The 26,391-nt window shown below is 52.9% G+C and overlaps 2 protein-coding genes and 1 pseudogene across 2 annotated transcripts in view, besides 12 other annotated features; all 3 read left to right on the forward strand.

The window, feature by feature from the left end:
• Window positions 1-6,715, forward strand: part of MAML1 (mastermind like transcriptional coactivator 1) — a 44,462-nt gene extending 37,747 nt beyond the window's left edge. Inside the window, exons 4-5 of the mRNA NM_014757.5 lie at window positions 579-675; window positions 3,327-6,715. Coding sequence (NP_055572.1) covers window positions 579-675; window positions 3,327-4,309 — 1,080 coding nt within the window. The 3' untranslated portion in view covers window positions 4,310-6,715. The remainder of the gene's footprint in view (window positions 1-578; window positions 676-3,326) is intronic.
• Window positions 2,587-2,787: a silencer, noted in NCBI's record as "peak5609 fragment used in MPRA reporter construct". NCBI's record gives its function as "represses an SCP1 promoter by STARR-seq MPRAs in K562 erythroleukemia cells {active_cell/tissue: K562}" and the evidence as "EXISTENCE:reporter gene assay evidence [ECO:0000049][PMID:32103011]".
• On the forward strand, window positions 13,808-14,333 carry LOC100884169 (NADH:ubiquinone oxidoreductase subunit A12 pseudogene; annotated as a pseudogene).
• Window positions 22,606-23,233: an enhancer, noted in NCBI's record as "H3K4me1 hESC enhancer chr5:179220175-179220802 (GRCh37/hg19 assembly coordinates)". NCBI's record gives its function as "activates a minimal SCP1, AML or CMV promoter by ChIP-STARR-seq in naive H9 embryonic stem cells {active_cell/tissue: H9 hESC(naive)}" and the evidence as "EXISTENCE:reporter gene assay evidence [ECO:0000049][PMID:30033119]".
• Window positions 22,808-22,887: an enhancer, noted in NCBI's record as "active region_23760". NCBI's record gives its function as "activates an Ori minimal core promoter by ATAC-STARR-seq in GM12878 lymphoblastoid cells {active_cell/tissue: GM12878}" and the evidence as "EXISTENCE:reporter gene assay evidence [ECO:0000049][PMID:35858748]".
• Window positions 22,908-23,057: an enhancer, noted in NCBI's record as "active region_23761". NCBI's record gives its function as "activates an Ori minimal core promoter by ATAC-STARR-seq in GM12878 lymphoblastoid cells {active_cell/tissue: GM12878}" and the evidence as "EXISTENCE:reporter gene assay evidence [ECO:0000049][PMID:35858748]".
• Window positions 23,408-23,477: a silencer, noted in NCBI's record as "silent region_16735". NCBI's record gives its function as "represses an Ori minimal core promoter by ATAC-STARR-seq in GM12878 lymphoblastoid cells {active_cell/tissue: GM12878}" and the evidence as "EXISTENCE:reporter gene assay evidence [ECO:0000049][PMID:35858748]".
• Window positions 23,418-26,079, forward strand: LTC4S (leukotriene C4 synthase). The gene is made up of 5 exons (NM_145867.2): window positions 23,418-23,570; window positions 25,016-25,115; window positions 25,218-25,288; window positions 25,373-25,454; window positions 25,685-26,079. The coding sequence occupies exons 1-5, from the start codon at window positions 23,513-23,515 to the stop codon at window positions 25,824-25,826; spliced, it is 453 nt and encodes a 150-aa protein (NP_665874.1). The 5' UTR covers window positions 23,418-23,512; the 3' UTR covers window positions 25,827-26,079.
• Window positions 24,541-25,213: an enhancer, noted in NCBI's record as "H3K27ac-H3K4me1 hESC enhancer chr5:179222110-179222782 (GRCh37/hg19 assembly coordinates)". NCBI's record gives its function as "activates a minimal SCP1, AML or CMV promoter by ChIP-STARR-seq in naive H9 embryonic stem cells {active_cell/tissue: H9 hESC(naive)}" and the evidence as "EXISTENCE:reporter gene assay evidence [ECO:0000049][PMID:30033119]".
• Window positions 24,541-25,732: a biological region, named in NCBI's record as "H3K27ac-H3K4me1 hESC enhancer GRCh37_chr5:179222110-179222782".
• Window positions 25,023-25,732: a silencer, noted in NCBI's record as "silent region_16736". NCBI's record gives its function as "represses an Ori minimal core promoter by ATAC-STARR-seq in GM12878 lymphoblastoid cells {active_cell/tissue: GM12878}" and the evidence as "EXISTENCE:reporter gene assay evidence [ECO:0000049][PMID:35858748]".
• Window positions 25,773-25,822: a silencer, noted in NCBI's record as "silent region_16737". NCBI's record gives its function as "represses an Ori minimal core promoter by ATAC-STARR-seq in GM12878 lymphoblastoid cells {active_cell/tissue: GM12878}" and the evidence as "EXISTENCE:reporter gene assay evidence [ECO:0000049][PMID:35858748]".
• Window positions 25,843-26,002: a silencer, noted in NCBI's record as "silent region_16738". NCBI's record gives its function as "represses an Ori minimal core promoter by ATAC-STARR-seq in GM12878 lymphoblastoid cells {active_cell/tissue: GM12878}" and the evidence as "EXISTENCE:reporter gene assay evidence [ECO:0000049][PMID:35858748]".
• Window positions 25,843-26,058: a biological region, named in NCBI's record as "ReSE screen-validated silencer GRCh37_chr5:179223416-179223627".
• Window positions 25,847-26,058: a silencer, noted in NCBI's record as "fragment chr5:179223416-179223627 (GRCh37/hg19 assembly coordinates)". NCBI's record gives its function as "represses an EF-1alpha promoter that drives an FKBP-Casp9 reporter gene in an ReSE screen in K562 erythroleukemia cells {active_cell/tissue: K562}" and the evidence as "EXISTENCE:reporter gene assay evidence [ECO:0000049][PMID:32094911]".

A 26,391-nucleotide genomic window follows, 5' to 3' on the forward strand; every position in this document is an offset into this window, starting at 1 on the left:
TTTTATTCATTCGTCTGTTCATGAACATTTGGGTTTCTTGTTTGGGCTGTTAATGAGTATTGCTGCTATGAACATTCATGTACAAGTTTTCATATAGACATCTGTTTTCATTTTTCTTGGGTAGATACCTGGGAGTGGAATTGCTGGATCACATGGTAATTTTTATGTTTAACCTTTGGAGGAACTGTCAGACTGTTTCCCACAGGCTGTCTCATTTTACATTCCCACCAGCGGTGTATGAGGGTGCTGATTTCTCTACATCCTCACCAACCACTTGTTATCATCTGACTTTGATTCTGGCCATCCTAGTGGGATCTCATTGTAGCTGTGATTTGCATTTTCCTAACCAGCTCTCCATTTTTTAAAAACAGGTATACCTACCTTTTAAAAAAGTCATTGCTCCCTAGATCTGTTTCATACTATTTAAAAACCCCAAAATGAAATCAGCACTATTTCCACAGGAGCCCATTTGTGAGTAACAAACTTGGATAAGTTACTTTTCTCTGACCTCCCTCACTCCCTTTGTTTTGGATTTTGTTATATGTTGGTTTTGTTTTGTTGTTCTTGGCATTTTCTAGGAGAAGCAACAGTTTCAGCGCCATCTGACCCGCCCACCACCCCAGTACCAAGACCCGACACAAGGCAGCTTCCCACAGCAGGTTGGACAGTTCACAGGTAGGGGGTGTCTGTGTGACGAGCAGGGACAGGGGAGGCCGCTGCCTGGTGCTGGTTGAATCCCTGCTGTCTGCCCAGCTCTATGCCTTGACTTCATCAGGCTGCATGCATTGTCATCATATACACCTCAGTTTGCCTAAGGGGCCTGGTTTTCTAGTTACTCCACGGCATCAGGAGAAGAGGGCACAGAGGCAAACCACTAGAACTACCTTTGCTGGGTCCCTGGCTGTACAGTTTTCTGAAGCAAAATCATTTCTAGTTGGAGGACATCTTATCAGCAGGAAATAGCTTCTGTAATTCTCAAGAAAGTTCTTTGCTTCTGCTTTTATGTGTCTTCAAAAAATGACTCCTATCTTCCAGATAAGGACTTAATGCACTTGCGTGGCCTTTGGCTTCTTTCTCTCCTCCTGTCTGCTCACTTGAATATCACAGATGGCAGCATCACTAGTGGACAGTTGGCCAGAAAAGGGCAGGAAGCACACTTGAGTCTAGCTGTCGCCTCTGAGATGTGCCAGGGAACTTCATAGGCCATCCCTCCAGAAATGCACAAAGATTTCAGGGAATGGATACAGGAAGCTCTGGTCTGCCCGCCTTCCTAGCTCCTCTCAGAATGTCTTAGAAACCTCTGTTTTTCCTTATTTGGGACCTTGCTATAAAGGGTCCCAGAGAGACTGACCACAGCTGTGTGTCCTGGAGGAGACCAGGTACGGTTTTATGTATGTGCTACCTGGGGTCAACGTGGGGTTGAAATCTGCAGGCATTTCAGAAGCATGGGTCTGACCCATGTTTTCTGCCTTCAGACCCATCTGACATTTTGTGGATTATTGATGGGAATGAAATAGCCGGTTTCAGCTCTCCTCTTTTCCTCAACCCAATTTCATTGTTGTTGTTTTGAAACAGAGTCTTGGTCTGTCGCCCAGGCTGCAGTGCAGTGGCACGATCTTGGCTCACTACAACCTCCACCTCCTAGGTTCAAGCGATTCTCCTGCCTCAGCCTCCCAAGCAGCTGGGATTACAGGCGCCTGCCACCACGCCCGGCTCATTTTTGTATTTTTAGTAGAGATGGGCTTTCACCATGTTAGCCAGGCTGATCTCACATACCTGACCTCGTGATCTGCCCGCCTTGGCCTCCCAAAGTGCTAGGATTACAGGTGTGAGCTACCGTGCCCGGCCCCAATTTTTATTATATGGTTGCTAGTAGAGAGGAAGAAGAACAAAGCACTGAGTTACGGCCAATCCCTGAACAATGACTCTCCTACCCACAAAACCTAATTCAGTTAATGGTGTTGTCATATGTCCATTGCTTAAGCCAGGAGGCCTAGACAGCAGTTCCCTGAGCATAGGGGTGCTTTCTCTTCCACCCTCTGCTGTCTCTCCAGCACAGCACCTGCCACAGAGTGGGTACTCAGTGAAGATCTGGTAATTTCCTGCGACTCCTCCCTCCTTTGGCCACCTTGTCATTTCATAGTATAAATGGTGTGCCATAAGATGGTATATTGTCTGGTGAGATGTTGTCACACAGTTCTGCACCTCCACCCCCCATTCCCACATGGTCTGCCCTCCCTCATCTCCGTGACTGAACAGCCTCTCCCCAGCATGGTCTCAGCCACACTCTCAGTCCAGCCACTCTTGGGCTTTACAACCCTGTTCTTTGTTTGTTTGTTTGAGACAGAGTCTTGCTCTTTCGCCTAGGCTGGAGTGCAGTGGCATGATCTCGGCTCACTGCAGCCTCCGCCTCCCGGATTCAAGCAATTCTCCTGCCTCAGCCTCCCGAGTAGCTGGGGGCGCGCGCCGCCACGCCTGGCTAATTTTTGTATTTTTAGTAGAGACAGGGTTTCACTATGTTGGCCAGGATGGTCTTGATCTCCTGACCTCGTGATTCGCCCGCCTCGGTCTCCCAAAGTGCTGGGATTACAGGCGTGAACCACCGCGCCCGGCCACAACCCCGTTCTTCACACGCCATCCACAGCTCTTCCCTATCTGGCCGGAACTAGCTCTTCCATTTTATCTCTAACCAGCTGGCCACTGTCTGCATATCCCGGCCACGGCCAGTCTCTGAAAGTTCCCCACACAGATGCCTTTTTCTGACTCTGCCTTTGCACACACTTGCCTGGAATGCTCTTTTTCCCCAAACTGTTAAATTGCTAAACTTCTGTGCTTTTAAACCTAGTGGATTCATCACTGTCTCTCTCAAGCCTTGCCCAAGGCTTCCCAGATGCCAGGGCTTCCAGCCTGCACCCTGCAGCCTGCTGGCCAGGCGCGCCCCATCGCGCCCCATTGCGCCCCATCGTGCCATGTGCTAACTTTGCCTCCCAGAGGCGGATCTTGCGTTGGGTCCACCTCAGAGTCCCCGGTGCCCACCACAGGGTCCCCACAGAGCAGAAATTTGGTGGGTGCTTGAAAGTTAGATGAAGTAGGTCACTGGTTTTCTCTCCCCTGGGGCTTTGCCCTTCCTCTGTGCCTTTCTGAACCCCATCATTGTTTCAGAGACCAGGCCTCCATTCCACCTGTGGAAGGCTTTCTGCCCCATGGCCCCCGGGGCCCTCTTCCCAGTGTGCCGTGAACGTGAGACTTCTGGTGCTGCGGCTCGAGTCTCAGAGGGACCCAGTGGTGGTCGACTCCTGACTGCCAGACTCTTCTCTGTCTTGTAGGGTCCTCTGCTGCCGTGCCCGGCATGAACACCTTGGGTCCATCCAACTCCAGCTGTCCTCGAGTGTTCCCTCAGGCTGGGAATCTGATGCCAATGGGCCCTGGACATGCTTCAGTTTCCTCTCTCCCCACAAACTCAGGCCAACAGGACCGGGGTGTGGCTCAGTTCCCTGGCTCCCAAAACATGCCTCAGAGCAGCCTCTATGGCATGGCTTCTGGCATAACCCAGATAGTTGCCCAGCCCCCGCCACAGGCCACCAATGGACATGCCCACATTCCACGGCAGACCAACGTGGGCCAGAACACCTCCGTCTCAGCTGCCTATGGGCAGAACTCTCTGGGAAGCTCTGGCCTCTCCCAGCAGCACAATAAGGGGACCCTGAACCCTGGTTTAACAAAGCCACCGGTCCCAAGGGTGTCACCAGCCATGGGAGGCCAGAATTCCTCCTGGCAGCATCAGGGAATGCCGAACCTCAGTGGCCAGACCCCAGGGAACAGCAACGTGAGTCCCTTCACTGCAGCCTCCAGTTTCCACATGCAGCAGCAGGCCCACCTGAAAATGTCTAGCCCGCAATTCTCCCAGGCAGTGCCCAACAGGCCCATGGCTCCCATGAGCTCAGCAGCTGCCGTGGGGTCCTTGCTACCCCCAGTGAGTGCACAGCAGAGGACCAGCGCCCCTGCCCCAGCACCACCCCCAACAGCCCCTCAGCAGGGCTTGCCTGGCCTGAGCCCAGCAGGGCCTGAGCTGGGGGCCTTCAGCCAGAGCCCTGCCTCACAGATGGGCGGTCGGGCGGGGCTGCACTGCACCCAGGCCTACCCTGTGCGGACCGCGGGCCAGGAGCTGCCTTTTGCCTATAGCGGGCAGCCAGGTGGCAGTGGGCTCTCTAGTGTGGCTGGACACACCGATCTGATCGACTCCCTGCTGAAGAACAGGACTTCAGAGGAGTGGATGAGTGATTTGGACGACCTGTTAGGGTCTCAGTAATGGAAGGATTTGTAGTGTTTTTAGTGTTCATTCATCCTATATTTTTATTCTCAGATTCAAAGAAAGAGCAACTACTTTGGACCAAAAGCCCATGGCCTGGGGAGCTGGGCAGGTAGAGCCCAAGCTCCAGGTGAGGCCTGGCCCTGGGCAGGGTCTGTGGCTGCGCCCCTCAGGCCAGCAGTTGAGGTCCATCGGGCTGGCCCCAGCCCATCTGCTGGCATCAGTACCTGGTGTTGGGACAGCAGGATAGGGTTCTAAAGGTGGTTTTCTATCCAAACGACCAAAAAACCAACAGTAACACCAGTGAAACCCCACACTGTCGGGCTTATAAAAATCTGTGCCATCATGGTGATTTTATCCAAGACTGCTCCACTTACCCCAGTGCTGGGGACAAGTTTCTGTTGAAACTTTAGATAGCAGAATTATTTGCAATTTGTAGCATAGAAAAGATTTTTAAATTTTTTTACAAAAGGTTTTTAAACAGATTAGGGTAGGTGATGGTTTAAATCAATTAAGTGGCATTGGAAACCTAGGGTTTCCTTTTGATTAAGAGCCTTTTTTGTTTCTGCTCTTTGTCAGCTTTCAGGGGAGAAGGAGGCCACTGGAAAATTATTTCCCTAAGTGCAGGCTGTTGACTGCGTATGCCAAAAAGGGACAGGAGGCATGGGATAGCAGGTCTGGTGACACAGCTAGGGTCTTCCTAGCAGCTCCTCCTCCTCCCTCCCAAGGCCCCCAGGAATCCCTTCCTCCCATGTCCTGGCAGCAGGACCCCAGGCTACATATGGAAGGTAGAGATGTGGGGGTCCTGTATCCTGGAGTATTATGTCTCCCCACCTTCTGCAGTTTTCTCTGAACATGTATGTTGCCCATGGTGGGAGCGTGGTCACTGTGCAGTTGTGCACAGATGTCTTTCCTTTACCGTTGGCCTTTCTGTCTGCCTCTCCTTCCTCTCTGCAGCCCAAATGGAAAACAATTATTTACTCCATTGGAGGGAAAGGAAGAGTCTTAGAATTCCTAAGGGAACCTTAGCATAAAGGTTTTGGGGAAGGAGGCCGTAGGCCGGCCCGGAGGAAGCAATTCCACTTGGTTTGACAACTTCTGCCACTCCCATGTCAGATGACTTGCACTTCTTAAAGAGATTGCTTTATAACACTAAGACATCCTTTCTAAAGATTCAAGTGGACTTGACTAAGCTGAGGGTCCACGAAATAGAATATGACATGTGAGCTGTTTTTGGAAAACGAAGATGGAGAGAGCACTTCCCCGTAACGAAAGCAAAGTGGTAAGCACAGGGTGAGACCCTTTTACACAGAATGGTGGAGAGAAAAGAGAATGCTGAAAAGTGGCTCAGATGCAGAGTGTTCTGTGGAGAAACTGCAGCCCCACTTCTGTTTCCCTGGAGTCTCCCAATGGATCATTCAGGAGTGTCCTATGTGAGAATTGAGCCAAGGAAAATACTCATGCAACCAGCCTGAGTCGCGGTGAGGGGACGAGAGGTTGTACACACATTGGTAGTTATTTTGCACCAGCAGTGCCTTTCTCACTGGGGGTACTTGGACCCTCAGATCTTCTTTTCTAATAGCCATTTGCCACCCCAAGTGGTATGTCGGCCATTTCTCCTTAAAACACCTTCCCTACCTTTCCCATGTACTCAGTTTAGCTCTCAAAGAAGGGGTGAATCATAAAGCCAGTGAAAATTTCACCCTCTGAGGGAGTTCCCCAATCTGAAGGGGAAGAGGGTGACCTCAGCGGCTTTTCTCCCAAAAATCGGCTGAAGGCTGGTTGTGGATCCTTGTTCCTCTCCTGACCCCATCTGGCTGCTGCCCCGTCTCCCACCCCTGTCCCCGGGGCTCGCTGGCCCTGCACTCCGCCTTAGTCCTGGGGCCGGCGACACAGTGGGGGCTCCTCACTTGCTGCAGTGTCATAGCAATAAAATGTGATTCTTGGGGTCCCCCCAGGGAGCTGCCCATGGCTTTATTTATGAACCTGGTTTTCGGGAGTCAGGGGAGGAGATGACTTTGCTTCTGTGCACAGCCCCGTCTTCCAGGAGCCACAACTCAGAAGAAAAGGGTGCTCAGACTTTTGTTATACACATTTGCTTTGTGTAAATAAATGTTTACAATTTTATATGAAAGATGGAATAAGCGCTAGAGCTTCCAACTGTATATTTTTTACTTTTATAGATTTTAAAACTATGATCCTTTATATGTGTGTTTTGGGGGAGCTATGATAAGTTTTATGGCAAACGGTTGGTATTGTTAACTTTTTATTGTCATCAAAAGTTCATAAAAGTCCTATTAATCCCCATATTCTTCTACTGCCCTTAACTCTGGTATACACCAAAAAGAAATCTTTACTTTCCTTGTTTTATCATTATAAAAATAAAGTATTTTGCTAGTATGGAAACAACCTTTGTATTTGACGTCACCTGGGGTCTGCTGGCAGAAGTTTGGGGATTGGTTTTCTTTTGTAATTTAGCTGCTTGCTTTTCTTGGTTTTTTAATTTTTTCTTTTTAAAGAAATGCTTGTCGAGTCATAGATTTAGCTGCTTTCTTATTGCACATTGTTGGGTGGGAGCTGGTTTGGTTGAAGCCTCAGAGGAGCTTCTGTTATCTGCTGATAGATACTAAATTAGAGCTAGCATCACCCTGAGAAAGCAGGCTGGCCCCAGGACTCACGGGCGTCCATGCAGCTGATGGAGGGGAGCTGGACCGGACGACTGTGCTCTCTTAGCTCTAGCATCACCCTGAGAAAGCAGCCTGTCTCCGGGACTCACGGGCATCCATGCGGCTGATGGAGGGAGCTGGGCCGGACGACTGTGCTTCTCGTGCTTCATGTAGAACCCTTAGGTTTGCCCCTGAAGTCTGTCTGCTCCATGTACTATTTAGTTGCTTTTCAGCATAGAGCTTGGTTTTCCCTTTTTTTAATTGTAAGAATGATGTGCTCTGGCATGTCACACTGTGAAAGGGGACCAGATGATGGAGCCTGGACTGAAAGGGTGAATGGGGCCGCTCACCTCAGAACTCTCCCTGCTTTGCTTTGCTGGGAGCAGGGAGCAGGGCAGCCTGGGAGAGGCTGGAGTTCCTCAAAGGGCAGAGAAGAATGGCCTTCAGGGGACCACAGGGAGGAACCATGCCATGATAGACTCAAAAAGCTAGATTATGCTAATAAAAAGGGGAAGACATCTGTGACACACAGGAAACAGTGTTCGTGGCCTTGCCATAGAAGGCGCAGTAAAGGAGGAAAACTCCGGAGACTCCCTGTGAATTCTTGGCTAAGAATGCACGTTATCTGCAGTGATCTAAAAACACAAACGAGAACAGAAGTGAGTGGCCCTACCTGTGAGATGCACAGTGCTGAGCGGCACCCAGCGCTGGCTGCAGGATGGGAGGCTGGCTGCCGTATGATTGTTCGTGGGAAGAAATTTTGTAGAAGTTATCAAGCTCCTTAAAATGTTCGTGCTGTGTCTGCCTGGACAGTTGCAATTCTGAGAAGCGATCCTTGAAAATGATTCTGGGTATAGAAAAAGGTACAGCACAGTGGTGTTCTTAGTATGGCTGTTTACAGTCGCAGAAAATGAGATGCTAAACTGCTGCCCTAGGGGATTGGTTAAGCAAACTGGTGCTTCCACTCCATGAGATAGGATGCAGCCATTTGAAATATTTATGAAGGTTTTGGACAGTCATTTGGAATAATGGTTTTGTTGGGGCTCTTAACTTGCAAGCCAATAGAAAAGAAATCTGGCTAATATAATCCTATAAATTATTTCCCTACAGCCCATTTTTAAGGTTCCCAGTAACTTTCAGAATCAAAGGAGACATCGGATGGCCAGGCCTCAGTAGTGGCAAGGCCCAGGCAGTTCCAGATCCCTGCAGCCTGCCACTACCCCGAGTCTCTCCAGGTCACCAGCCAGGCTTGGGGGTGATGGAGGAGGACTCGGTAAGGGACAGTTCACTTGGCAAATGTTTAGGGAGCACCTGCTGTGGCCAGGCATTGCCCTAGAGGCAGGGAATATGATAGAAATTGCGGCAGTACAGGAAGGTAAGGTCCCTGTACCGCAGAGCTCACAGTCTCATGGGAAGGAGTTCTTACACAGGTGAGGTAAGTGTTAGGGAGAAACTAAAGCCAGGTAATGAGAGAGGGCAGTGGGGCTGCAGAGGCTGGGGTGAGCCACAGACTACTGTAGACACGGTAGCAACGTAGGTCTCTTAAGAAAGTGACACACAACGTAGGCCTAATCACAGCACTTTGGGAGGCCAAGGTGGGAGGATCACTGAGACCAGCCTGGGCAACATAGAGAGACCCTGTCTCTGTAAAAAAAAAAAAAAAAAAAATTAGGCATGGTAGCACACACCTGTGGTCCCAGCTACTCAGGAGAATAAGGTGGGAGGATCACTTCAACCCAGGAGGTTGAGGCTGCAGTGAGCCAAGATCATGCCACTGCACTGCAGCCTGGGCAGCAGAAACCCTGTCTCAAAAAACAGTGCTGTTAACAGGAAGAGGGAGGAGTGCTTAGGAGCAAGTTAACAGATGCCTGCACATGTTAAATTTAAAAGCAGGCCGGGCACAGTGGCTCACGCTTGTAATCCCAGCACTTTGGGAGGGATCTGTCTGCCTGGGCAGACAGATCACCTGAGGTCAAGAGTTCCGAGACCAGCCTGGCCAACATGGCAAAACCCTGTCTCTACTAAAAATACAAAAATTAGCTGGGCCTGGTGGCACGTGCCGGTAGTCCCAGCTACTTGGGAGACTGAGGCAGGAGAATGGCTTGAACCTAAGAGGCAGAGATTGCAGTGCCAGGATCGTGCCACTGCATTCCAGCCTGGGCGACAAAGCTAAACTCTGTCTCAAAACAACAACAACAGCAACAACAAAAACCCACAAATTTGAAAGCAAGCAATATGCCACTGCATTTAGTAGGATGGTGGCTCTTGCCATCCTCCAGGTGCCTGTGAGCTGCAACCAGCCTGCAGTGCAGGCCTGTGCTGTTCTGAAACCTCTGCCAGCCTGGACAAGACTTGCCCGCCTCCCCTGTCCAGCCCCAGAAGATGCCCAAGGTAAGTCAAGGACAAGCTCCAGGGTCTCTTGCTTGCCCCTGGAGTTGGATGGCACACCATGGTTGGTGGCATTATCAGTAATGCTCCCTGCAGGCCAGCCAGCTGATGCCTGGAGCTGGCAATGTGGCTCTAAAGCTGTTGAAAGATGCAAGATGTTAGCTACCTGCGAACTTGGTCCAAAGCTAGTGGCTGAACTTCAGTGTTCCAGGCACTGCCCTGGCCAGCACAGGAAATGGCGAGTGGTGGCAAATGTCTTGACTGGACTTTTCTTCCCCTTTTGCGTTCAAGCAGTTAATGTCCTGGCCACTCTTCAGATTGGCTTTACTTATGCTTCATGGATAATTTGCTCTTCGCACGCTTACAGTAAGCTGAGCTGCAGAGTTTAGCTAGTGCATGAAAACCATTTCATGGACGTTGGGAAAGATAACTTCAGACTCCCACCCAAAGCAGAAACCAGCGCCACAAGGGGAGAATTCAGGGATCCACCACCCTGTCAGTCTTCTGGGAAGGGTCACGTACATTAGGAAGAACTAGATGCCATCTGCTGCAAAAACAAACAAATGCAGCCAGCTGCCTGCTGGAGGCAGGGCTGCAGAACGGACTTACTCTGAGGATTTCCACACTGCGGGCGACCTTAAGCAAGCCCTGACCACATGGGCTGTGGTGAGAAGCAGCAGGCCGTGTTAGATTGCTATGTGGGATCAGTGTGGAGGCCTCCACTTTTCTTTGTGCCTGGAAAGCAGAACTTTTCAAGACTGAGGACGAAAAACTGGAATTTTGCATCCTTATTAAGATCTAACTACATTTTATGTAGCAGAGACAACTGCTTGCTCACTACTTCTGGATTTATTACTACTGATAACATTTCTCATGAATTTTAAAGTTTTAGGCTGGTTCTATACTTGTAATAACAGATGATTTTATATAACGCAAGACAGAGTCCAACCACATGCAGAATCTTCAAGAGCTATAGATACTGCCGTCCGAGCTCTCTAGAGCTAGAGGCCTAAGGAGGTCCTAGCCCCCAAGTAATAAAAAATTTAAATCTTGGCAGGGTGCGGTGGCTCATGCCTATAATCCCAGCACTTTGGAAGGCCAAGGCAGGAGTATCGCTTGAGTCCAGTAGTTTGAGACCAGCCTGGGCAACATGGTGAGACCCCATCTCTACAAAAAGTTAGCCGAGCGTGGTGACACACTCCTGTAGTCCCAGCTACTAGGGAGGCTGAGGTGGGAGGCTTGCTTGAGACTGGGAGGGCGAGGCGGCAGTAAGCCATGATGGTACCACTGTGTTCCAGCCTGGGTGACAGAGTGAGATACTGCCTGAAAAATGAGAAAAATTAAATCTTGCCGGGCATGGTGGCCTTTGCTTGTAGTCTCAGGTACGCAGGAGACTGAAGAGAGATGATCGCTTGAGGCCAGGAGTTTGGGGCTGCAGTGAGCTATGATTTTACCTGTGAGTAGCCACTGCACTCCAGCCTAGGCAACATAGCAAGACTGTCTCTTTTTTTTTTTGAGATGGTCTCACTATGAATTGCTCAGGCTGGAATGCAGTAGCATGATCATAGCTCACTGCAGCCTGCACCTCCTGGGCTCAAGCACTCCTCCCACATCAGCCTCCCGAGTAGCTGGGGCTACAGGCGTGTACCACCATGCCAAGCTAATTTTTTTAAAAAAAATTTGTAGAGACAGGGTCTTAGTATGTTGCCCAGGCTGGTCTCAAAACTCCTGGGCTCACGCGAGCCTCCTGCCTCAGCCTCCCAAAGTGTTAAGATTACAGGCATGAGCCACCACACCCAGCCAACCCTGTCCCTTAAAACATAAAAAGATAAATCTGTGGCTTCTTTTTGATTCTTGCTTGTGCAGTAACAGGCATGTTCCTTAAACTTTGCAGCTGTCTGTCATTCCTTGCATTTAACCTACTCTATCCAGTTGATCCTGGATTCCCCTCCCCTGGGTCCACTTCTTAGTAAACCTATGGCATTATAGGAACACTAGAGCAGGAGAACAGGGCGAGTCTAAGCCTGAGTGTGCCACTGCTAACCATGTATGGGACCTCTCTGTGGCTGTCCCAAAGCGGGGAGATTGGACCAGACTGAGCGGACAGTTACAGAGGCTGTGATACACTCCAGATACCTGTCAGGACTGAGACCCATTTCCAGGAGTGTTGGACACTCATTGTTCAGAGCTGCTGCCAGCTCATAGCTGACTCTTCCTGGGAATTGTGTTCAGTGGAGGGGAGCTGCCCAAGGTTATGCCCTCTTCCAGGGGCAGCCCATGTCTGGAGACTTGTCGATATGGGAGTATGGAGACCCCAACACCCTTGCCTCAATTTGGGACATCTCCAAAGAGCCATCCTGGCTCCACTGCACCGGTGCTGTCGTCTTGAGGCCTCTGCTGCGTCTGCATCTCAGTTCCACCTCTCGCCTGCCCAATCCAGTAGCCCTTGCTCCCTTATGAGTGGTGCTGATGCCCTTTGAAATCTGCCTTTGGGGCACCTGGCTCGAGAGACTTGGTGCGGGGAGTGGTCCCAGGAAGCCGACTGTAAGCTGGCTCGCTGCTGACTGCTGGCCATGATGACCCCATCACCTGTGGCAAGTGGGACAGCTGTAAAGAGGAACTGTTAAACGTTCGCTGTGGTGGCACCAGGGCAGGACACTGGGGAAGGGAATAGAGTACCCTAGGCCTTTGGGAAGTGTAAGTGGAGGAGTGACTGTGACCTTGAGAGAGATGTTGCGGGGGTTATAGGTGATACCTCGGAGAAAGATAATGAAAAGCTGATCATGACTAATCACTAGAAAAGACACGATGTGAGATCCGTTAGAGGCCTCCTTGGCAGCCAGGCAAGAGGGTGGACACAGCTGAAGGGATCAGGCATGGGGTTGTTACTAAGGCTTCAGAGCTCCAAGAAGGTAGAACTTTCAACCTAGCCGAGTGTGCCATACCAAGGTCATTGTCCTAGTTAGGAATGTGGGACCCTTACACTGGGATGGGGACATCTGGATCGATACTCTAGAACTCTAGAAAACCTGGACACCCCAGCCCCGCCACCCTCCCCCACACCCTGAAACCTCTAAGCCCACTCCTCCCTGTTAAGGGCCGGTGCTTTGCTCTTGTTTGAAGGTCATGCCCAGGCCTCTGCCACCTCCCCTTAGGATCTGTGCTCACCACCCCTCCTGGCCCCTGGACCAAGAAGGTCAGCAGGAGGGTGCTGGGCCTGCCAGAGAAGAAAGAAGATGAGCTGCCTGGGGGGAGCAGGAGTGTGCCTGAGACAAGGGCATGGCCATATGGGGCTCTGCTATGACCTAGGACTCAGCACCCTTGCAGAGCCCCCAGGAAGCAGTGCCCGTAGGCTGCCAGCTCGGTCGGCTCTCTGAAACTTCCCAGGAAGCCATGGCCCACAAGGAAGAGAATAGCAACCTAGGGGCAACCGTGGCAGCTCTGCAAGAAGCGAACGAACGCCCAGAGAAGCGGGTGTGGGAGAGTGGAAATGCAGCTGACCCCTGAACAACGCAGGTCTCAACTGCCTGGGGCCACTTACATGTGGGTTTTTCAATAAATATATTGGAAATTTTTTTTGAAATTTGTGACAATTTGAAAAAACTCACAACTGAACCGTGTTGCCTTAGAGATAGTGAACAAATTAAGAAAAAGCTAGGTATGTCATGGACGCATAAAATATTTGTAGGTACTAGTCTATTTTATCATTTACTACCATAAAATATACACAAATCTATTACAGAAAGTTAGAAGTTAGTCTAGGTGCAGTGGCTCACACGTGTAATCTTAACACTTTGGGAGGCTGAGGTGGGAGAATCACTTGAAGCCAGGAGTTTCAGACCAGCCTGGGAAACAGTGAGACCTTCGTCTCTACAATTAGCTGGATATGGTGGCACATGCCTGTAGTCCTAGCTACTTGGGAGGCTGAGATAGGAGAATTGCTTGAGCCGAGGAGTTTGAGGCTGCAGTGAACCAAGGTCACACCACTGTACTCCTGCCTGGAAAACATAGCAAGACCCTGTCTCCAAAAAAAAGGTTTTTTACTGGGGGCAGTGGCTTACGCCTGTAATCCCAGCACTTTGGGAGGCCGAGGCGGGTGGATCACCTGAGGTCAGGAGTTTGAGACAAGCCTGGCCAACCTAGTGAAACCCCGTCTCTACTAAAAATATGAAAACTAGCTGGGTGTGGTGGTGGGCACCTGTAATCCCAGCTACTGGGGAGGCTGAGGCAGGAGAATCACTTGAACCTGGGAGGCGGAGGTTGCAGTGAGCCGAGATCGCGCCATTGCACTCCAATGTGGGGGACAGAGCAAGACTCCATCTCAAAAAAGAAAATAAAAAAAAAGTTTTTTTGGTCAAAAGTTACACATGCAAACACTACGTGGCACATTTGTAGTTAAGAGAAATGTAAAGGTGCAGTATAAATATAGCCGCAGCCTGAAAGACGAGGCCAAATGACTGCAGGTCCTGAAGCCCAGCTTGCAGCAGGTCAGCAGCTACAGCTGCCTCCATGGCTAGTTATGAATTTTTTTCAGGGCAAATGATGGGAGGGTTGGCACATAAGTGGGGGAGGAAAAATATGGAAACAAATACTATGAAGACAACAAGCAACGTTTGGCTACCACTGATGGGTCACATATACTGAAATGAGTGACAAAAACATTCTGGGATGTGGCTGGAAGCATGGTGCCTCCCAAGTGGCATCCTCTGCTTCACTCAGACTCATGATCCTCCAACAACAAAACCACCTCCTGCTCGCAGATTCTTTGGACAAACCATAAGTTAAGCGTGAGTGGCACCCCAGAACAATATGTGCCATTTTCTACCACTAGAAAGAAGACAGGAGCGGGTCCCATCTTCAAAACCTGACAAGCAAAGACAATGAAAAACAGTTTAAACACGCAAAATACAGGGCTTTTCATGGCATTGCACTTTGCTTACCATTAACTGGATTAAAATTGTTTGACAAAAAACTTATAACTGCATACAGTTGACCGTAGCACATACTGTACTGCCCTGCTGATCTCACAGCCATCTCCTGTAGTTACTGCAGTGGACTTGAGAGTGGCGATGATCTGCTTAAAGCGCCATGCGTCTCATCAGCTCCAAGGGAGCAGTTTGTCCCTCCAGTAAATTGTAGATCACAGTAAAAAGGGATCTCTCGGCTGGGCGCAGTAGCTCATGCTTGTAATCCCAGCACTTGGGGTGGCCGAGGTCAGGAGATCAAGACCAGCCTAGCCAATATGGTGAAACCTTTTCCTGCTGACCTTTTAATTGTCTCTATTAAAAATATACAAATTAGCCAGGCGTGGTGGCGCACACCTGTAATCCCAGCTACTCGGGAGGCTGAGGCAAGATAATCACTTGAACCTGGCAGGCAGAGGTTGCAGCGAGTCGAGATCGTGCCACTGCACTCCCGCCTGGGCAACAGAGCAAGACTTTATTTAAAAAAAAAAAAAAAGGGATCTCTGTCAGTTCTTGTGTTTTTTCATCATGTTTGGTGCAGTACTGTAAATCTTCAGTAACACCATGGGACCCATACAACGTGCCATTAGTGATGCTGCAAGTGCCTCCAAGAAGCAAAGGAAAGTCATGACGATAAGAACAATTTAAGTTGCTTGATAGGTATTATAGATTGAGGTCTGCAGCCACGGGTGCCACCCTCCCAGCCGATTCATCTTGTAAATGGATGACATAAACGCACGGTATTGATACAGTACAGTACTATAAATGTGTTTTATGATTTTCTGAACATTTTCTTTTCTCTAGCTTACTTTATTGTAAGAACACAGTGTATGACAACACACTTCCCATACAAAGCAGGTGTTCGTGGACTCTTTATGTTCTCTCTAAGGCTTTCCGTCAACAGTAGGCTATTGGTAGTTAAGTTTTGGAGGGGCCAAAAGATGTAGTGGATTTTCGGCTGTGCAGGGGTCAGCGCCTCTAACCTCCACAATGTTTAAGGGTCGGCTGTACTCTGTTTGTGATGGCCCTGACACCTACCAGCCAAATATGTTCTGCAGGAGGGCTGCACTCAGTGGCTCACACCTGTAATCCCAGCACTTTGGGAGGCCGAGGTGGGTGGATCACCTGAGGTCAGGAGATCAAGACCAGCCTGGACAACATGGTGAAACCCTGTCTCTAGTAAAAATACAAAAAATTAGCAGAGAGTGGTGGGGCGCACCTGTAATCCCAGCTACTCAGGAGGCTGAGGCAGGAGAATCGCTTGAACCTGGGAAGCAGAGGTTGCAGGGAGCCGAGATTGTGCCATTATACTCCAGGAGCAAGAATGAAACTCCATCTCAAAAAAAAAAAATGGAGGAGGAGGAAGAAAAGAAGAGGAAGGAGAAAGAGAAGGAAGAAGAAGAAAGGAAGAAGAAGAAGAGGAGGAGGAGAGAAGAAAGAAGGAAGAAAGAAGAAAGAAGAATCATCCTGGCCTAGGCCCAGCTCCCAGTGGGACCACTGGGTCCACAGCTCCACCCAGCCATTTCCTTGGCCTTGATATCTAATCAAAGAGGACTCACTTCATAGTTGACAGAAGCCTCACACGGGGTATTGGCCTGGGAAGCCACAGTGGGGAAGGCCCAGAGAAGAAATGACAAGGAGCCTTGCTTCCCAGTGGGTCAGACACAGGGTGGCGTCTGCCTCATAGGTGCCTTTTTTTTTTTGAGATGGAATTTCGCTCTTGTCGCCCAGGCTGGAGTAGAGTGGCACGATCTCGGCTCACTGCAACCTCCGCCTCCTGGGTTTAAGCGATTCTCTTGCCATACCCTCCCAAGCTGGGATTACAGGCTCCCGCCACCACGCCCAGCTAATTTTTGTATTTTTAGTAGAGACGAGGTTTCATCATGTTGACCAGGCTGGTCTCAATCTCCTGACCTCAGGTGATCCGCCCACCTCAGCCTCCCAAAGTGCTGGGATTACAGGAGTGAGCCACCACGCCTGGCCATAGATGCCCATTTGATTTTCCAGTCTGGGCCCAACGAAACGCAAATGATCCCTAGCAGCTGACAGCAGTCTGCTGCAAACACAGCAAAGTTGAGTCCCAGTTGCAGCTGCAGTGACCACCAGCCAGCCTCTGTCATGGCCCCCGAGTGCTGGGCCCAGCAAGGCGGGCTCAAGAGCAGTAAGCAGCAGTGGCAGGGGTGGGGCCCAGCGGGATCCCAGCATCGTGGCTCTGGCTCACCCAGACAAACCCGGATCTGCCACCCAAGTGCCCAAGTCTCCAGCCTGCCAGTGACAGAGACCAGCGTTGGTCTCCTCAAGGGACTGAGTGAGGAGACCAGTCACCACCCGGTGCAAACTGAGTCCCTTCCACGCGGGAAAGGGCCACGAGCAATTCATGTTTTCTTTTTTTTGTTTGTTTTTGAGACAGAGTCTCGCTTGGTCGCCCAGGCTGGAGTGCAGTGGCACAATCCTGGCTCACGGCAACCTCTGCCTCCGGATTTTGTGAACCAAGCAGGAGGTTGCTTGCCCTGCATCCTGGCAGGAGTCAGCAATTCTCCTGCCTCAGCCTCCTGAGTAGCTGGGATTACAGGTGCCCACTACCATGCCTGGCTAATTTTTGTAGTTTTTAGTAGAGACGGGGTTTCACCATGTTAGCCAGGCTGGTCTCCAGCTCTTGACCTCAGGTGAGCCACCCGCCTTGGCCTCCCAAAGTGCTGGGATTACAGGTATGAGCCACGGCTCCCGGCCATGTTTTCTATTTTTAGCTTTTCATTTTGAAATATTTTCAACCTTACAAAAAAGTTGTGAAAATACTACAAAGACCTCAAAAACATTTTGCTAAGTTGTGCCAGACACAGAAGACCACATATTGTATAGTTGCATTTATATGAAATATCCAGACAAAGCAAATCTGCTGAATGCATGCCCCAAAAGTTCATGTGTTGGACTTAATCCCCAGTGCAACAGTGTTGGGAGGTGGGGCCTAGTAAGAGGTGATTGGGTCATGAGGGCAGAACCCTCATGAATGAATGTTTTTTTTGTTGTTGTTGTTTTAATTTGAGAAGGAGTCTCACCCTGTCGCCCAGGCTGGAGTGCAATGGCGCAATCTCTGCTCACTGCAACCTCCATCTCCCGGGTTCAAGCGATTCTCCTGCCTCAGCCTCCCAAGTAGCTGGGATTACCGTAGATTGCAGACCTGAATATAGGAGACTATCTTGATGACCTCAGAGTTGGGAAGAATTTATTAGACAAAATACAAAAAGAGTTAACCATAAGGTAAAACACTGATTCATTTGTTACAGTCAATTTAAGAGCTTCTGTGCATCAGGAGACACCATCAGGAGCCTGGAAACACAAGCCATTGGTGAAAGAGAGCCTCTCCCTGGAGGCAGGTTTTGGCTACTGTCAGGGAGCATGCTGGAGCCACAGCAGTGGGTGACATAGGAGTTTGCTTGTGCTAACCTGTGCACTGGGATGCCGTGGGTGCTGGAGCATCCTTCTACTGCAGGAAGGATGGCCTTGGGCCTGCACACTGTTGGACTTCTTGGGCCCAACAGAACCAGCTCCTGTGGCAGACTGCCCTGGCCACGCAGTCACTTGGTGCCCCAATGTCCCAAGGTCCAGTTTTCATTTGTTTTGTTTTTGGAACAATGTCCATTCCCTGCTGGGGAAGGCACAGCCTTGATCTGGGACCATAAGATTATGCACTATGACTCTCTCACGAGGCTTCTGCTAGAAACACCACCTGGCCCTGTCTCTACCACAGCTATTTCTAGCACCAGGGGGTGTGCTCGATTTTCTGAACCAAGCAGAAGGTTGCTTGCCCTGCATCCTGGCAGGAGTCAAAGCAGCAGTCCCGAGTGTGAACTGTGTTGCATCCAAAGCCTCCAGAGGCCCGCCAAGGCCTGTGTGCCTTTCTTAGTGGCAAGAGATCAAAAGTGCTATAACTTGAATTTTTGCCCGGGCTGGAGTGCAGTGGCGCGGTCTCAGCTCACTGCAACCTCCACCTTCCGGGTTCAAGTGATTCTGTCTCAGCCTCCCAAGTAGCTGGGATTACAGGTGCATGCCACCATGCCCAGCTAATTTCTGTATTTTTAGTAGAGACGGAGTTTCGCCATGTTGGGCAGGCTGGTCTCAAACTCCTGACCTCAGGTGAGGACAGGCCCACCTGGGAAACTCCTGTTTTTAAAACCATCAAATGGACCAGGCTTGGTGGCTCACGCCTATAATCCCAGCACTTTGGGAGGCCAAGGCGGGTGGATCACTGAGGTCAGGAGTTGGAGACCAGCCTGCCCAACATGGGCAGGCTGTATTTTTTGTAAAAATACAAAAAATTAGCCAGACGTGGTGGCGGACACCTGTAATCCCAGTTACTCGGGAGGCTGAGGCAGGAGAATCGCTTGAACCTGGGAGGCGGAGGTTGCAGTGAGCTGAGATCACACCACTGCACTCCAGCCTGGGCAACAAGAGCGAAACTCCATCTCGAAAAACAAAACCAAAAATAAAAATAAAAAAATTTAAAAAAAAGGGAGTGTCCCTGCACAAGCTCCTCTCTCTTTGCCTGCTGCCATCCACGTAAGATGTGACTTGCTCCTCCTTGCCTTCTGCCATGATTGTGAGGCCTCCCCAAAGTCCAATAAACCTCTTTCTTTTGTTAAATTGCCCCGTCTTGGGTATATCTTTATCAGCAGCGTGAAAACGGACTAATACACTGGGCATGGTGGTGCACGCCTGTAATTCCAGCTACACAGGAGGCTGAGGCAGGAGAATTGCTTGAACCCAGGAGGCGGAGGTTGCAGTGAGCTGAGATCACGCCATTGCACTCCAGCCTGGGCAACAGAGTAAGACCCTATCTCAAAAAGAAAAGAAAAGCTGGGTGCAGTGGCTCACGCCTGTAATCCCAGCACTTTGGGAGGCCAAGGCGGGTGGATCACAAGGTCAGAAGATCGAGACCACCCTGGCTAACACAGTGAAACCCCGTCTCTACTAAAAATACCAAAAAATTAGCCAGGCGTGGTGGCGGGCGCCTGTAGTCCCAGCTACTCGGGAGGCTGAGGCAGGAGAATGGCGTGAACCTGGGAGGCGGAGCTTGCAGTGAGCCGAGATGGCGCCACTGCACTCCAGCCTGGGCGACAGAGCTAGACTCTGTCTCAAAAAAAAAAAAAAAGAAAGAAAGAAAGAAAGAAAAGAAGAAGAACAGAGAAGCAGAGAGAAGCCAGGCCAGCTGCCCCAGTAAAGACTCAGGTTCTCACGATCCCAGGCCACTTCCAGACTGAATCAGTTCTCAGCTGTACAGCAGGTGATCTCTGCCCTACAGGGATCTGCACCCATTTACTCAGGAAACTGTCTTCTTACTATCCAGTTTTGAGAGTTTTTATATATTTTGAATTCAAAGTATTTTTTTAATCATATATATGATTCACAAATGTTTTCTCTAAGTCTATGGTTTAATTTTTCTATTTTTTTATTTTTGAGACGGAGTCTAGCTCTGTTGCCCAGGCTGGAGTGCAGTGGCGCGATCTCGGCTGACTGCAAGCTCCGCCTCCCTGGTTCACGTCATTCTCCTGCCTCAGCCTCCAGAGTAGCTGGGACTACAGGCGTCCACCGCCACCCCCGGCTAATTTTTTGTATTTTTTAGTATAGACGGCGTTTCACCGTGTTAGCCAGGATGGTCTCGATCTCCTGACCTCGTGACCTGCCCACCTCGTGCTGGGAGTACAGGCGTGAGCCACCGCGCCTGGCCCTCTCTGTGCCTTTTTTTTTTTTTCTTTTCTTTTCTTTTTTTTTTTTGTTGGAGACGGAGTTTCGCTCTTGTTGCCCAGGCTGGAGTGCAATGGCGCGATCTTGGCTCACTGCAACCTCTGTCTCCTGGGTTCAAGCAATTCTCCTGCCTCAGCCTCCGGAGTAGCTGGGATTACAGGCATGCACCACCATGCCCGGCTAATTTTGTATTTTTAGTAGAGACAGGGTTTCTCCATGTTGGTCAGGCTGGTCTTGAACTCCCGACCTCAGGTGGTCCACAACCTCGGCCTCCCAAAGTGCTGGGATTACAGGCGTTAGCCACCATGCCCAGCCTGGCACAATTTAGCATAAAGTTTTTGAGGTCTTTGTACTATTCCAGTAGGACAGTTGGTGAAACTTGAATAAGATCCGTAAAATACTTGATTACTAACTTGTATCAATGGAAATCTCTTGGTTTATAACTGAATTTTGGTTATACAAGTTTTTTTTTTTTTTTTTTTTTTTTTTTTTTTTTTTTTTTTTTTTTTGAGACACAGTCTCGCTCCGTCGCTCAGGTGTGATCTTGGCTCACTGCATCCTCTGCCTCCTGGGTTCAAGCAATTCTCCTCTCTCAGCCTCCCAAGTGGCTGGGATTATAGGTGCCTGCTACCACGCCTGACTAATTTTTGTATTTTTAGTAGAGATGGGGTTTCACCATGTTGGCCAGGCTGACCTCAAACTCCTAACTTCAGGTAATCCGCCCACCTTAGCCTCCTAAAGTGTTGGGATTACAGGCATGAGCCACCGCGCCTGGCCGAGACTGTAGATTTTTGCAACTTTTTTGTAAGTCTAAAATAATTTCAGCCAAGCATGGTGGCTCATGCCTGTAATCCCAGCACTTTGGGAGGCTGAGGCAGAGGATCACTTCAGCCCAGGAGTTTGAGACCAGCCTGCAACATAGCAAGACTCCATCTCTGGAAAAAAAAAAAAAAAATTAGAGCCTGTGGTCCCAGCTACTTGAGAGGCTTGAGGTGGGAGGATTGCTTGAGCCCGGGAGTTTGAGGATGCAGTGAGGCATGTTGAGCCACTGCACTCCAGCCTGGGCAACAGAGCACGATCCTGTCTCAAATATAAAATAATTTCTAAATAAACTTTCTTGTTCAAGCTCAGGGTCTGAGTTGTGCACTGCCTATGATCCACTCCACAGAAGTTCTGATTTCTTCTCTGTGCAATGGTTCTGCCGGCCTTTCTGCCGCCCAGAGGTCCTGGTGAGTGGGCATCAGAGACTCCTTAGGGCTCTGTGGAGGCTCAGGGAGGAGCTTTCGCTTCCCTCCTGATGCTGGTGCCTCCAGAGCTAGACAGGAAGATGGAAGCTGGGTGGCCCGAGCAGGGGTGGGGGCTTGGCTGGCCCTCCTGTCAGCTTGAGCTGGCTTGAGCCCAGGCAGGGCCCTGACAGCCTGGGCAGGCTCAGAGGGAGGGAGGTGGGAACCAAGAGACCCGGGGAGGGCTCCCGGGGCCAAGACCCAGGTCCCTGCCCTGCACATCTGCCAAGGGACTTCCTCAGAAGCTGCTGATGTTAGGCTTTGGCTTCCTGCTGTGGACTGAGGGGATGAACTCCGACGGGAGGACATTCAGGCCTTGGAGGAAATGAGAGCTTGGCTGACAGGAGGGCCTGGACTCACGAAGACACTTGGACACCCACAAGCACAGAGACATGGGTGTGTGACAACTGACCAAGGGGCATGCAGGTATGTATGCGTGGTGCACACAGACACCCTGGGCACAGCCCACTGGCACCAGCGTCAACCCCTGCGTGGTGGGCTGCATCCCACCCTTCAGGCAGGCCCTGTGGGGCAGGTTTCAGGGAGGAAGGAGGCTGAGTGGGCAGAGTCTGAGGACGCGGCCACCATCGCTCCCTGGCACTACATCTGTGTCCGGGATCTAGGAGGCAGTCCTCCATCACTGAGCCCCAAGATGACTGTCACAGCTTGGTCTAAAGCAGGGGCCGGGCCTGAGCCCTGGCCCCTGCCCTGGAGGAGCTCACAGAGCCCCCAGCTGGGGCATATCTGGTTTCCGGGGGCAGGGGCGATACCCAGAGGAGGAAGAAGGGATTCTGAGAGAGCCCAACAGGCTCCGAGCCTCAGGCTGGAGCTGAGCTTGGGGCAGCAAGGAAGGACCAGGTGCGAGGGCAGAACCATGCGGCCCGACCCCTGCAGCACGGCCTGTGGCCTCCCCCAGCTCCTGCCCGTGCTTCTGGGTCAGTCTGGACTTTGCCACTTCTGACCAAAAGCCACCGCAAACCCACTCAAGCCAAAAGAGGAAGTGACCGTTAGGCCCAACTGGGAAGGCTGGCGGCCAGGGGCACTCCAGGCAGGGCGAGGGGGGCGGCCGGGGGCGCTCCAGGCGGGGCGAGGGAGACACCCAGAACTCCAGGCAGGAGTCCTCGGGTGCCACCTTTCCTCTCCACCTGGCCCTGCGTGGGCTCTGTCCTCAGGGTGGCCCGCCGTAGTCCCCCTCCCCACTCTGAGTTTCCTGTCCCAAAGTCCTAAGGAAGTTTCCAGAACTACATCTCACCATCTTGAGTCAGCCTTGGCTCAGTGTCCATCTCACAGGCCTGGAAGGGGCAGGAGTCAGCACTGTCCAGACCACAGGGCCTGAGTGTGGGGAGGGCAGCCGTCTAGGAAGGTGGTGGAGGGTTGTTACCTTGAGGCAAGAGGGCTGCGGGGCAGAAAGACACAGCAGGTGACTGTTGTGGGAGGCCCAAGAGAGGCCTGGGAGAGGGATGGCCCACAAGGGCTGACCCTCCCGCCACCCAGGGGGCCTTGGACAGGTTTCCTCCTGGCAGGGTGGCCCTTGTGCATGGAACCCCTACAACGACTAAGGCTGGCAGGCATGAGGTTTCCTGAAGGAGAAAGAGCTTGTGGGGCCCAGTGTGGCTGGGGGGGCGCTGGGACTCCATTCTGAAGCCAAAGGCACTGGGAAGGGCTTCCGCAGAGGAGGGTTTGGCAGGGGTTGCCAGGAACAGCCTGGATGGGGACAGGGAACAGATAAGGTGGGTGGAGGAGTTAGCCGGGAGCCTGGGGCTGGCTCCAGCATGATGTGGGGGTCTGCAAGGCCCTGGAGAAAGTGGGGTGGTGCAGCAGGGGGCACACCCACAGCTGGAGCTGACCCAGATGGACAGCTTGGGCTCTGCCACGCGGGACTAGGCAAGGAAGGGGCACGAACAAGCAGGAAGTGGTGAGGCGGTCTCCAGCTAGCTGCTCTCCCCTGCCCAGACTTTGGTTTCCTCCCTGCTGGCTTGGCCTGGCTCCCTGGCTCTGTGTGGTATGGTCACACCCCCGTGCACCCCCTCCACTGAGATGGGGCGGGGAGAGCACCGAGGCTGCTCTTCCTCTCCTGGGCCGTCCTCTGAGCAGCAGACGGGGCTAAGCGTTCCCCAGCTCGCCTTCACACACAGCCCGTGCCACCACACCGACGGTACCATGAAGGACGAGGTAGCTCTACTGGCTGCTGTCACCCTCCTGGGAGTCCTGCTGCAAGGTGGGCTGGTTCCTATCTAGGAAGAGGGTGGGCCTTAGATCCCTACAGCTTGCCCTCTGCCCCCTAGGCCCAGGTGGAGGGCAGAGGTGGGGACTCCAGCCCAGGCCCAAGCTGGAAGAGGGTGGGGACTTTCAGGGAACTGGGGGGCACCTGGCTGTGAGAGCTGTAGGACTTGGGGGTGGCAAGGGTGCCAGGACAAATGGTAGGATAGCCATGGGCTTGGGGAAGCTGATCTCTGCTCTTTCCAGCTGTCCCCTCTCTGGGCGTCCCAGCAAGCGGCCCCCATTCCCTGGCTCTGCTTCAAAGGCACCTCCATACTGGGACCACGTGGAGCAGGGTAGAGGTGGGACTCCTTCCTCCAGCCCCCTAAAAAGAGCCTGCTTAATGCCTTTCTCAGACTGGCCCTAAAGGACACATTCCTTGGCCAGATATCCTTGCCACCTAAGAGACACCACTACTCCACAGTGTGTGGGCTAGGATAAGGCACAGCCTGGGGAGGGGGCTCTGAAGGGGCTGAACAGACAGGCCAGCCTGACCTCCAGCTGCTCCTGCACTGAGCTGGATGGCCACCCTGTGACACCCATCTGCAGAGGGCCCAGAACCAAAGGTGCCAGGGCTGCAGGACTCAGGGGGAGATGGTCCGACGGGAGGTCTGGGGAGGGAGCGCACAGCCAGCACTGGTCTGTGTGTGGTCTGGCCTGGCCTCACCTGACCAAGAGAAGGGCTCCTGCCCACAGAGAAACTTTAGGGCCAGCCCACCCTCTGCAACTACCCCAGCCCTGGGGTCCTGGGGTTAGGCTAGGAGAGTCCCAGCTGCAACCTCCTGGGAGCAGGAGAGAAGGTGTCTGTCAGATTTAGGCCTGGGACCGGAATGCAGGAACAGAGAAACTGAGGTTTGGAGGCACAGGGACGCAGGCTTTAGTGATCCCGGCCTGAGGCAGGGTCAGAGGGCCCTGCTGGTGGGCGCTGGTAGGTGGGTGACCAGGGACTGTTAGCTACAGGGAGTGTGCTTCCTTGCACCTGGGAGGATGCAGCCAGCTCTGCCCTCAGACTCCCGAGGCACTTCCTGGCCAGGGACCTGAAAGCTGCATTTGCCTGTGTTTTGAGAGTGAAATGATTCAGAAACAAGGACTCAAGTGGTCTCTCTCGCGGAGCAGGTGTCCCTGTGCCTGAATCACTCACCCTCCCCCATACACTCACAGGTTGGGACAGGGCCTCTCTGCGCCCCAGGCTTCAGCCCTGCCCTCCTCGCTGAATGTCAGGGACACAGGGCAGGCCAGGGATGGGTGAGACGAGAGGTCTCCTCGGGCGGGGAGGGGGCGGGGTTCCGCCTTAGGGAGGAGAGGACACGGCCAAGTGAAGGGCCAGATTGCAGGATCCCTCCCACTCCCATCTCTGGGGCTTCGGGTGTCCAGACCTGACTCCCGCTCCCCCTCCTCCCCCAGCCTACTTCTCCCTGCAGGTGATCTCGGCGCGCAGGGCCTTCCGCGTGTCGCCGCCGCTCACCACCGGCCCACCCGAGTTCGAGCGCGTCTACCGAGCCCAGTGAGGCGCGGCGGGAGGGCGCGGGGCGGGGAGCGAGCCCCAGGCGGGTCCGGGTCGCAGGACCATCCCGGCCGGCGCGCTCATCCCACCCGCCCACCGCAGGGTGAACTGCAGCGAGTACTTCCCGCTGTTCCTCGCCACGCTCTGGGTCGCCGGCATCTTCTTTCATGAAGGTCGGGGTGTGGGGCAGGGGCGCACGCGCTGGACCCCCGGGACCCGCGCAGGGCGCTCACCAGGCCCGTGCGTACCTCTCGCAGGGGCGGCGGCCCTGTGCGGCCTGGTCTACCTGTTCGCGCGCCTCCGCTACTTCCAGGGCTACGCGCGCTCCGCGCAGCTCAGGTGAGGGCCGGGCGGGGAGCGGGGCGGGGCCGGGGAAAGATCGCGGGCGGGCGGGGCTCCTGGGGAGCGGGACCGAAGCTGGGGGCGGGCGACGGGCCGGAGCCCAGCGCCTTTGGGGATTCGGTGGGCGAGCCCTGGCGGCGGCCAGAGGAAGTCCCCGTGGGGCCAGGGTTGCGGCGGGGAAGAAGCGGGCCTCCTCGCGCCACCTCCCCGCTGACCGCCGCCCGCAGGCTGGCACCGCTGTACGCGAGCGCGCGCGCCCTCTGGCTGCTGGTGGCGCTGGCTGCGCTCGGCCTGCTCGCCCACTTCCTCCCGGCCGCGCTGCGCGCCGCGCTCCTCGGACGGCTCCGGACGCTGCTGCCGTGGGCCTGAGACCAAGGCCCCCGGGCCGACGGAGCCGGGAAAGAAGAGCCGGAGCCTCCAGCTGCCCCGGGGAGGGGCGCTCGCTTCCGCATCCTAGTCTCTATCATTAAAGTTCTAGTGACCGAGACCCGGGCTGCGTTCTCTGGGTCCGCGGGGGTGGCGCACCGCGGGCTACGGAGCCTGGAGGGGCCCAGCCCGAGTCCGGGCAGCCCGGGGCGGGCTTCCTAGTGGCGGCGTGAGAGTGGCTGCGAAGGAACGAGCCCTCCCCCTGGGGCGGGACTGGATCCGGTCTTCACCTCCTACCCCACTCCCTACTCAGCCTCGGGGTCACAAGGCCGCCCAGTCCTGCCGGGGTTCACCCTCCTAGCGCTCAGCGGTCTCCTCACCGGTCCCCCTCCTCAGGGGCCTTCCCTCGACTCTCAGCCGCCGCAGTCCCTCGTCCCCTGGCCTTCACAGCTGACACTAGATAGAGCCTGTGGCTCTCTCCCCAGGTGAGGGCAGGGGTTTTTCTTTTGGTCAGCACTGGATCCCCCTCGTTAACTGTAGGTGTTCAGGGCAGCCCTCCGAGGTCCGC

The sequence above is a fragment of the Homo sapiens genome, chromosome 5 (genome assembly GCF_000001405.40).
Source record: "Homo sapiens chromosome 5, GRCh38.p14 Primary Assembly".
NCBI lineage: Eukaryota > Metazoa > Chordata > Mammalia > Primates > Hominidae > Homo > Homo sapiens.